Below are 12,104 nucleotides of genomic sequence, written 5' to 3'. Positions count from 1 at the left end.
CTCAGTTATTTTAAAAACCTTGGTGCTATTTAATACTGTGGTTAACACTTTGGAAGAAAATGGCTAGGTTTGAGCCTGACCTTGTTGGTATAGGCTCACTCACACCTTCAGAATATGGGCATTGATGAAAGAAAAAATTCAGCTGAATTAAATTTAAAGGAGTTTAATTGAGCAATGAACGGTTTGCGAATCGGGCAGCCCCCAGAATCACAACAGATTCACAGAGACTCAGCGCAGTCACATGGTGGAAGAAGATTTATAGACCAAAAAAAAAAAAAAAAAAAAAGGGAGGGCCGAGCGCAGTGGCCCACGCCTATAGTCCCAGCACTTTGGGAGGCCGAGGTGTGTGGCTCACGAGGTCAGGAGTTCAAGACAAGCCTGACCAACATGGTGAAACCCCGTCTCTACTAAAAATACAAAAAAATTAGCCGGCTGTGGTGGCATGCTCCTGTAATCCCAGCTACTCAGGAGGCTGAGCCAGGAGAATTGCTTGAACCCGGGAGGCAGAGGTTTCAGTGAGCTGAGATCGAGCCACTGCACTCCAGCCTGGGCAACAGAGCAAAACAGCAAAACTCCTTCTTAAAAAAAAAAAAAAAAGGAATGACATATGGAAATTGGAAGTGAGGTACAGAATGGCTGGATGGGTTACAGCTCAGTTTTTGCCTTATTTGAACACAATTTGAACACTCAGCAGTGTATGAATGGTTGAATTACAGCCACTGGGATTGGCCAAGACTCAGCTATTGTTATAGGCACATATTCCTAAGTTAGGTTTTCAATCTTGTCTACCCATTAAACTAGGTTGCAATTCCTCCACAAGGACCCAAATATAAAAGTATGGAATCTTTCTCAGGCCATATTTAGTTTGCTTTAACAGCATAATCCACAGATTATGGTGCAGTGGATTCCGCTGATATTCAGGGGTGCTGACTCTAGTTTTCAATTAAGACAAGTGAAGAGAGACAGAACTCTGTTCCAGATAATGGATGTCTAGGTAATTCAGATAATCCCCCTGGTAAAGACAACAATAAAGCCGGGTGATATATAAAAATAATTCTTTCTTAAAGCATTAAAAATATAATAAACTAGTAATCAATTACCTGCTGAGTGTCAGTAAAAGAAACAAACCCAGAGAAGTGAATCTAGCAGTTGGGACCCCTTTTGCCCTGGCAACATTTGTAATCTGGATGTAGAAGCCAAGAGACTTATCTATGTTTCTGATAGCCTCATAGGGTTAGAGGAACAAAAACAGAAACCTAGGGCTGCCCAAAGTGGCGACATTGGTGATCATGCACTCCCCCTGAGGCTGCTTTCTAGGAGTAAAGGGGAACTGTAAGTAAACCTGCTCACCCATAAACTGCAGCTTGGCTTACCATCATCTGGTAGCCCATAAGACCCCAAACCTTGACACTGGTTTAAGGTGGGCTGTATTTCAGCACATCTAGGTTTCTGAAGAAGCAAAAGAAAATCCTCTCTGAAGGAATAAAACTTTAACCTAGACTTCACATTATTTCTAGAAATATTTTTTTCAAATACAAAACCCAGCATACAAACGTGCATACACATGAACAAACAAGTCTCCGTGAAAATCAACAGAAACAACAGACTCAAAAAAAGAAAAGAAAGAAAAGAGAGAGAAAGAAAGAGAGAAAGAAAGAAAAAAGAAAAAGAGAAAAGAAAGGAAAGAAAGAAAAAGAAATGACAGATACCAGAAATAGAATCTACTAAACTTCAGATTTGGAAATTATCAGATAAGGGTGTAACAAAACTGCTTACTATATTCAAAGAAACAAAAGCTAATCTAAAAAATTTAAGGAGCAAATTGAAAAATATAAAAACTGACGAAGTAGATTTAAAAATAAAAACCAAAATTTATTTGTAATTGAAATATATAATAACCAAAATTAAGAACTTGAAGGATAAATTAACAACAAACTTGACACAACTGAAAAGAGTATTAGTAAAGTGGAAAATAATTTAGAAGAAATTATTCAGAACACGCTGGGCGTGGTGGCTCACATCTGTAAACCCAGCACTTTGGGAGGCTGAGGCAGGTGGTTCACGAGGTCAGGAGATCGAGACCATCATGATAACTCGGTGAAACCCCATCTCTACTAAAAATACAAAAAATTAGCCAGGTGTGGTGGCAGGCACCTGTAGTCCCAGCTACTTGGGAGTCTGAGGCAGGAAAATGGCATGAACCCAGAAAGCGGAGCTTGCAGTGAGCCGAGATTGTGCCACTTTACTCCAGCCTGGGCAACAGAGCGATACTCTGTCTCATAAAAAAACAAAAAGTAATTATTCAGAACAAAGTATGGAGATGCAAAATAATGGTATTAATAGAAGAGAGGATAAGGAGATCTAATATATATTTAATTAGAATTTTTAATGGATGAAAGACAATAGAGCAGAGGCAATATTTGAATAAATAATAACTGAGATATATAAGACATGGAGAAATGCCACCTACATTCCCTCTCAAAGAAGGACTCATTTCCCTTAGTTGTTTGGAGTGCTGCCAATGTTCTAGGGTTTATCTCAGGTGCAGAGAGTTGATTCTCCCAAAAGCACACCCTTCCTGGGATGATGCACCTTCAACAATTGATTGCAGTGGAGTAAAAAGATTTGTCGTTTTGGCACCACAGGAGTATAGGCCATATGTAATCCAGTGCTCCCTATGGTGTTGGTTGAGACTTTGGCAGGTCTGCATCTCAGCTTAACTCACTTTTCCAGTTTGACAGCCTCATTCACGGTGCTCAGACCATGGAAGTATTTTGTGTTAGAAAAAGGACAATTGGCTGGGCATGGTGGCTCATGCCTGTAATCCCAGCACTTTGGGAGGCCGAGGTGGGAGGATCACTTGAGGTCAGGAGTTTGAGACCAGCCTGGCCAATATGGCAAAACCCCTTCTCTACTAAAAATACAAAAAATTAGCCAGGCATAGTGACAGCCGCCTGTAATCCCAGCTACTTGAGAGTCTGAGACAGGATAATCACTGGAACCTGGGAGGTGGAGGTTGCAGTGAGCTGAGATTGCGCTGTTGCAATCCAGCCTGGGTGACAGAGCGAGCCTCAATCTCAAAAAAAAAAAAAGGACAATTGTCAAAAGTAAGAAGCTGTAGTAGGGGGTCAGAAATATAAATAAATACTATCAGGGCTCAGGTCTAAGGGGGGAAATATTTTATTCTCTTATTTTTTGTACTTTAAGTTCTAGGGTACATGTGCACAATGTGCAGGTTTGTTACATATGTATACACGTGCCATGTTGGTATCCTGCACCCATTAACTTGTTATTTACATTAGGTATTTCTCCTAATGCTATCCCTCCCCACTAACCCACTCCACGACAGGCCCTGGTGTGTGACATTCCCCTTCCTGTGTCCAAGTGTTCTTATTGTTCAATTCCCCCCATGAGTGAGAACATGAGGTGTTTTGTTTTCTGTCCTTGTTATGGTTTGCTGAGAATGATGGTTTCCAGCTTCATCCATGTCCCTACAAAGGACATGAACTCATCCTTTTTTATGGCTGCATAGTATTCCATGGTGTATATGTGCCACATTTTCCTAATCCAGTCTATCATTGATGGATATTTGGGTTGTTCCAAGTCTTTGCTATTGTGAATAGTGCCGCAATAAACATATGTGTGCATGTGTCTTTATAGTAGCATAATTTATAATCCTTTGGGTATATACCCAGTAATGGGATTGCTGAGTCAAATAGTATTTCTAGTTCTAGATCCTTGAGGAATTATCACACTGTCTTCCACGATGGCTGAACTAGTTTACAGTCCCACCAACAGTGTAAAAGCATTCCTATTTCTCCACATCCTCTCCAGCACCTGTTGTTTCCTGACTTTTTAATGATCACCATTCTAACTGGTGTGAGATGGTATCTCATTGTGGTTTTGATTTGCATTTCTCTGATGGCCAGTGATGATGAGCATTTTTTCATGTGTCTTTTGGCTGCATAAATGTCTTCTTTTGAGAAGTGTCTGTTCATATCCTTTGCCCACTTTTTGATGGGGTTGTTTGATTTTTTCTTGTAAATTTGTTTGAGTTCTTTGTAGATTCTGGATATTAGCCCTTTGTCAGATGGGTAGATTGCAAAAATTTACTCCCATTCTGTAGGTTGCCTGTTCACTCTGATGGTAGTTTCTTTTGCTGTGCAGAAGCTCTTTAGTTTAATTAGATCCCATTTGTTTATTTTGGCTTTTGTTGTCATTGCTTTTGGTGTTTTAGTCATGAAGTCCTTGTCCATACCTATGTCCTGAATGGTATTGCCTAGGTTTTGTTCTAGGGTTTTTATGGTTTTAGGTCTAACATTTAAGTCTTTCATCCATCTTGAATTAATTTTTGTATAAGGTTTAAGGGAGGGATCCAGTTTCAGCTTTCTACATATGGCTAGCCAGTTTTCTCAGCACCATTTATTAAATAGGGAATCCTTTCCCCATTTCTTGTTTTTGTCAGGTTTGTCAAAGATCAAATGGTTGTAGACGTGTGGTATTATTTCTGAGGGCTCTATTCTGTTCCATTGGTCTATATATCTATTTTGGTACCAGTACCATCTGTTTTGGTTACTGTAACCACGTAGTATAGTTTGAAGTCAGGTAGCGTGATGCCTCCAGCTTTGTTCTTTTGGCTTAGGATTGTCTTGGCAATGCAGGCTCTTTTTTGGTTCCATATGAACTTTAAAGTAGTCTTTTCCAATTCTGTGAAGAAAGTCATTGGTAGCTTGAGGGAGATGGCATTGAATCTATAAATTACCTTGGGCAGTAGGGCCATTTTCATGATATTGATTCTTCCTATCCATGAGCATGGAATGTTCTTCCATTTGTTTGTGTCCTCTTTTATTTTGTTGAGCAGTGGTTTGTAGTTCTTCTTGAGGAGGTCCTTCACATCCCTTGTAAGTTGGATTCCTAGGTATTTTATTCTCTTTGTAGCAATTGTGAATGGGAGTTCCCTCATGATTTGGCTCTCTGTCTGTTACTGATGTATAGGAATGCTTGTGATTTTTGCACATTGATTTTGTATCCTGAGACTTTGCTGAAGTTGCTTATCAGCTTAAGGAGATTTTGGACTGAGACGATGGGGTTTTCTAAATATACAATCATGTCATCTGCAAGCAGGGACAATTTGACTTCCTCTTTTCCTAATTGAATACCCTTTATTTGTTTCTCTTGCCTGATTGCCCTGGCCAGAACTTCCAACACTATGTTGAATAGAAGTGGTGAGAGAGGGCATCCCTGTCTTGTGCCAGCTTTAAAAGGGAATGCTTCCAGTTTTTGCCCATTCAATATGATATTGGCTGTGGGTTTGGCATAAACAGCTCTTATTATTTTGAGATACGTCCCATCAATACCTAGTTTATTGAGAGTTTTTAGCATGAAGGGCTGTTGAATTTTGTCGAAGGCCTTTTCTGCATCTATTGAGATAATCACATGGTTTTTGGCTTTGGTTCTGTTTATGTGATGGATTACATTTATTGATTTTCATATGTTGAACAAGCCTTGTATCCCAGGGATGAAGCCAACTTGTTCTTGGTGGATAAGCTTTTTGATGTGCTGCTCGATTTGGTTTGCCTGTATTTTATTGAGGATTTTCGCATCGATGTTCATCAGGGATATTGGTCTAAAATTCTCTTTTTTTGTCATGTCTCTGCCAGGCTTTGGTATCAGGATAATGCTTGCCTCATAAAATGAGTTAGGGATGAGTCCCTCTTTTTCTATTGTTTGGAATAGTTTCAGAAGAAATCGGACTAGCTCCTCTTTGTACCTGTGGTAGAATTCTGCTGTGAATCCGTCTGGTCCTGGACTTTTTTTGGTTGGTAGGCTATTAATTATTGCCTCAATTTCAGAGCCTGTTATTGGTCTATTCAGGGATTCAACTTCTTCCCAGTTTAATCTTAGGAGAGTGTATGTGTCCAGGAATTTATCCATTTCTTCTAGATTTTCTAGTTTATTTGCATAGAGGTGTTTATAGTATTCTCTGATGGTAGTTTGCATTTCTGTGGGATCGGTGGTGATATCCCCTTTATCATTTTTCATTGCATCTGTTTGATTAGTCTCTATTTTCTTCTTTATTAGTCTTGCTGGTGATGTATCAATTTTGTTGATCTTTTCAAAAAAGCCAGCGCCTGGATTCATTGATTTTTTGAATGGTTTTTTGTGTTTCTGTCTCCTTCAGTTCTGCTCTGATCTTAGTTATTTCTTGCCTTCTGCTAGCTTTTGAATGTGTTTGCTCTTGCTTCTCTAGTTCTTTTCATTGTGATGTTAGGATGTCGATTTTAGATCTTTCCTGCTTTCCCTTGTGGGCATTTAGTGCTATAAATTTCCCTCTACACACTGCTTTAAATGCGTCCCAGAGATTCTGGTATGTTGTGTCTTTGTTCTCATTGGTTTCAAAGAACATCTTTATTTCTGCCTTCATTTTGTTATTTACCCAGTAGTCATTCAGGAGTAAGTTGTTCAGTTTCCATGTAGTTGTGCAGTTTTGAATGAGGTTCTTAATCCTGAGTTCTAATTTGATTGCACTGTGGTCTGAGAGACAGTTTGTTGTGATTTCTGTTCTTTTACATTTGCTGAGGAGTGCTTTACTTCCAACTTTGTGGTCAATTTTGGAATAAGTGTGATGTGGTGCTGAGAAGAATGTATATTCTGTTTATTTGGGGTGGAGAGTTCTGTAGATGTCTATTAGGTCTGCTTGGTCCAGAGCTGAGTTCAAGTCCTGAATATCCTTGTTAACCTTCTGTCTCATTGATCTGTCTAATATTGACAGTGGGGTGTTAAAGTCTCCCATTATTATTGTGTGGGAGTCTAAGTCTCTTTGTAGGTCTCTAAGGACTTGCTTTATGAATCTGGGTGCTCCTGTATTGGGTGCATATATATTTAGGATAGTTAGCTCTTCTTGTTGAATTGACCCCTTTACCATTATGTAATGGCCTTCTTTGTCTTTGTTGATCTTTGTTGGTTTAAAGTCTGTTTTATCAGAGACTAGGATTGCAACTGCTGCTTTTTTTTTTGCTTTACATTTGCTTGGTAGATCTTCCTCCATCCCTTTATTTTGAGCCTGTGTGCGTCTCTGCATGTGAGATTGGTCTCCTGAATACAGCACACTTGATGGGTCTTGACTCTTTATCCAATTTGCCAGTCTGTGTCTAATTTAATTGGGGCATTTAGCCCATTTACATTTAAGGTTAATATTGTTATGTGTGAATTTGATCCTGTCATGATGTTAGCTGGTTATTTTGCCCATTAGTTGATGCAGTTTCTTCCTAGCATCGATGGTCTTTACAATTTGGCATGATTTTGCAGTGGCTGGTACCAGTTGTTCCTTTCCATGTTTAGCGCTTCCTTCAGGAGCTCTTGTAAGGCAGGCCTGGTGGTGACAAAATCTCTCAGCATTTGCTTGTCTGCAAAGGATTTTATTTCTCCTTCAATTATGAAGCTTAGTTTGGCTGGATATGAAATTCTAGGTTGAAAATTCTTTTCTTTAAGAATGATAAATATTGGCCCCCACTCTCTTCTGGCTTGTAGAGTTTCTGCCAAGAGATCTGCTGTTAGTCTGATGGGATTCCCTTTGCGGGTAACCCGACCTTTCTCTCTGGCTGCCCTTAACATTTTTTCCTTCATTTCAACCTTGGTGAATCTGACAATTATGTGTCTTGGGATTGTTTTTCTCGAGGAGTATCTTTGTGGTGTTCTCTGTATTTCCTGAATTTGAATGTTGGCCTGCCTTACTAGGTTGGGGAAGTTCTCCTGGATAATATCCTGAAGAGTGTTTTCCAACTTGGTTCCATTCTCCCTGTCAGTGTCAGGTACACCAATCAGACGTAGATTTGGTCTTTTCACATAGTCCCATATTTCTTGGAGGCTTTGTTTGTTTCTTTTTAGCCTTTTTTCTTTTATTTATTTATTTTTTTTTGAGACAGAGTCTCACTGTGTCACCGAGGCTGGAGGGCAGTGGTGCCATCTTGGCTCACTGCAAGCTCCACCTCCCGGGTTCACGCCATTCTCCTGCCTCAGCCTCCCGAGTGGCTGGGACTACAGGCGCCCGCCACCATGCCCAGCTAATGTTTTGTATTTTTAGTAGAGACGGGGTTTCACCGTGTTAGCCAGGATGGTCTCGATCTCCTGACGTTGTGATCCGCCCGCCTCGGCCTCCCAAAATGCTGGGATTACAGGCGTGAGCCACCGCGCCCGGCTTCTTTTTACCCTTTTTTCTCTAAATTCTCTTCTTGCTTCGTTTCATTAATTTGATCTTCAATCACTGATACCCTTTCTTCCACTTGATGGAATCGGCTACTGAAGCTTTTACATGTGTCACGTAGTTCTCGTGCCATGGTTTTCAGCTCCATCAGGTCCTTTGAGGTCTTCTCTACACTGTTTATTCTAGTTAGCCATTTGTCTAATCTTTTTTCAAGGTTTTTAGCTTCCTTATGATGGGTTCAAACCGCCTCCTTTAGCTCGGAGAAGTTTGTTATTACTGACCTTCTGAAGCCTACTTCTGTCAATTCATCAAAGTGATTCTCCATCCAGCTTTGTTCCATTGCTGGTGAGGAGCTGCGATCCTTTGGAGGAGAAGAGGTGTTCTGGTGTTTAGGATTTTCAGCTTTTCTGCTCTGGTTTCTCTCCATCTTTGTGGTTTTATCTGCCTTTGGTCTTTGATGATGGTGACCTACAGATGGGCTTTTGGTGTGGATGTCCTTGTTGTTGATGTTGATGCTATTTCTTTCTGTTTGTTAGTTTTCCTCCTAACAGGTCTCTGAGCTGCAGGTCTGTTGGAGTTTGCTAGAGGTCCACTCCAGACCCTGTTTGCCTGGGTATCACCAGCAGAGGCTGCAGAACAGCAGATATTGCAGAACAGCAAATATTACTGCCTGATCCTTCTTCTGGAAGCTTCGTCTCAGAGGGGCACCTGGCTGTATGAGGTGTTAGTCGGCCCCTACTGGGAGGTGTCTCCCAGTTAGGCTACACAGGGGTCAGGGACCCACTTGAGGAGGCAGTCTGTCCCTTCTTAGGACTCAAACTCCGTGCTGGGAGAACCACTGCTCTCTTCAGAGCTGTCAGACAGGGACGTTTAAGTCTGCAGAAGTTTCTGCTGCCTTTTGTTCAGCTATGCCCTGCCCCCCAGAGGTGGAGTCTACAAAGGCAGGCAGGCCTCCTTGAGCTGTGGTGGACTCCACCCAATAAGAGCTTCTGGGCCACTTTGTTTGCCTACTCAAGCCTCAGCAATGGAGGACCCCCTCCCCCAGCCAGGCTGCCACCTCGCTGTTCGATCTCGGACTGCTGCTCTAGCAGTGAGCAAGGCTCCGTGGGCGTAGGACCCTCTGAGCCAGGCTCTGGGTATAATCTCCTGGTGTGCCATTTGCTAAGACCATTGGAAAAGTGCAGTATTAGGGCAGGAGTGTCCCGATTTTCCAGGTACACTCTGTCACAGTTTCCCTTGGCTGGGAAAGGGAAATCCCCTGAACCTTGCACTTCCCAGGTGAGGCGATGCTCCGCCCTGCTTCAGCTCACCCTCCATGGGCTGTACCCACTGTCCAACCAGTCCCAGTGAGATGAACCAGTTACCTTAGTTGGAAATGCAGAAATCACCTATCTTCTGTGGCAATCACGCTGGGAGCTGCAGACCAGAGCTGTTCCTATTTGGCCATCTTGTTTTCACTCTATTTTATTCTCTTCTAACAGGGGATTTCTTTTTTGTTTTTTGTTTTTTTTTCCGAGATGCAGTCTCACTCTGTCCCTCAGGCTGGAGTGCAGTGGCACAATCTCGGCTCCCAGGTTCAAGTGATTCTTCTGCCTCAGCTTCCTGAGTAGTTGGGACTACAGGTGGGTACCACCATACCTACCTAATTTTTGTATTTTTAGTAGAAATGGGGTTTCACCATGTTGGCCAGGCTGGTCCCAAACTCCTGACCTCGTGATGCACACACCTCGGTCTCCGAAAGTGCTGGGATTTCAGGTGTGAGCCACTGCGCCCCACAGTAATGTTTCCATTTCAATTCTGATTTTAGTGACTTGAATCATCTCTCCCTTATCTTGGTCAATCTAGTTTAGGGTTTGACAATTTTGTTTACCTTTTTAAGAAATAAATATTTTATTTTATTTATTTATTTATTGTTTTTCTATTTCATTAGTTTCCACTCTAATCTTTATTTCTTTCCTTCCTGTTGCGTTAGCTTTAGTTTGCTCGTCTTTTTTCAGTGTCTTACAATGTAAGGGCTATTGATTTAAGATCTTTTGTCTTTCCTAACATAAACATTCCCAGCTATAAATTTACTTCTTAGCACTGTTTTAGCTGTATCCAGTACATTTTGATATGTTGTGCTGTTGTGTACTTTTTTTTTTTTTTGAGACCTAGTCTCACCCTGTCACCCAGGCTGGAGTGCAGTGGCACATTCTCAGCTCACTGCAACCTCACCTTCCCAGGTTCAAACGATTCTCATGCCTCAGCCTCCCCAGTAGCTGGGATTACAGACATGTGCCACCACACCCAGCTAATTTTTTATATTTTCTTGTAGAGACATGGTTTTGTGACTAGGCTGGCCTCCAACTCCTAGCGTCAAGTGATTCGCCCGCCTTGGCCTCTCAAAGTGCTGGGATTACAGGCATGAGCCACCGCGCCTGACTGAACTCATTTTTATTTATCTGAACGTATTTAAATTGTTTTAAATAAAAGTAAAACACATAACATTAAATTTATCATCCTAACCATTTTTAAGTATACAGTTTAGTAGTATTAAGTATATTCACATTGTTATGCAACAGATCTCTGGAACACTTTCATCTTTCAACACTGAAACTCTATGCCCAACAAACGCTAATTCTCCTCTCCCTTCCAGCCAGTCCTTGGCAACCACCTTTCTACCTTCTGTTTCTATAATTGTGTCTACTTTAGATACTTCTTATTAGTGGAATCATACAGTGTCTGTTCTTTTGTGACTGGCTTACTTCACTTGCCATAATGTCCTCAAGATTTATCTATTATTGTAGTATGTGATAGGATTTCCTTTTTTAAGGCTACATAATATTCTGTTGTATGTATATACCACATTTGGTATATCCATTCATCTGTCAATTGACATTTGTTTTGCTTTTACCTCTTGGCTAGTGTGAATAATGCTACAGTTATCTCTTTAGGATCCTACTTTGAATGCTTTTGAATTCTTTTGAAACCCCTGCAGAAGTAGGTTTGCTGGATTATATGGGAATCATAATTTTAATTTTGTGAAGAAACCCTGTGTTGGGAAAACTCTCACCAACCATTTTCCTCTAGTCTTACACCACAATAATCATCAACATAGAAGACTACTGTGGCCAAATGTGTGAAGGTTTTTCCCCACACATCAAGCAGCAGACACCAGCTAGGTGTCCTCCAATTCAGTTCTGACACTGTCTACCTGAAGGTAATGTCAGTTCCTGCAGGTTGGGGGCTCAGTCCACAAGACTTCCCCCTATAGCCTCAGATACCAGTTGCAAGTCTGGGTCTCTGGGACTTCTTGACTGACTGGTTTCAATTTGGGGTTCCTACAACCTCCTCTTTGGGTTAAGTTAATTTGCTGGAGTGGCTCACAGAACTCAGGGAAACATTTACATTCACCAGTTTATTATAAAGGACACAGATGAATAGACTGGCAGGGCAAGGTATGGTGGAAGGGGTATGGAGCTTCCATGCCCTCCCTGGGCATGCCACCCTCCAGCAACCTTCACGGGTTCAGCTATCTGGAGGTCTTTGAACCCAGTCTTCTTGGGTTTGTATGGAAGCATTCCTTCCTCCAGGGTATGAGACTGGACCCTCCCAGGGGAGGGTCTTAAGACCCATAATGAAAAAGATGGGGTAATATTAGAGTTCTGCCTTGGGGCAGGTGAAAGGAAGGCAGGAGGTAGATTCTGTTCCTTGAGGCCTGCCCCTGAGGCCTAACACACACAACATTATAACAAAAGACTGTAACAAGGGAGATGGAAGTTATGAACCAGTAACTGTGGATGAAAACCTATAACTTATATATATACATGTATATATATATGTATATAGACCACGAACTCCACACTGTTTTTCATAATGGCTGCACCATTTTACATTCCCGCCAACAGTGCACACATTTCCA

Source organism: Homo sapiens, chromosome 6, assembly GCF_000001405.40.
Source record: "Homo sapiens chromosome 6, GRCh38.p14 Primary Assembly".
Taxonomy (NCBI): domain Eukaryota; kingdom Metazoa; phylum Chordata; class Mammalia; order Primates; family Hominidae; genus Homo; species Homo sapiens.
The sequence above is the reverse complement of the archived record's forward strand: the minus strand, read 5'-3'. Positions refer to the sequence as shown.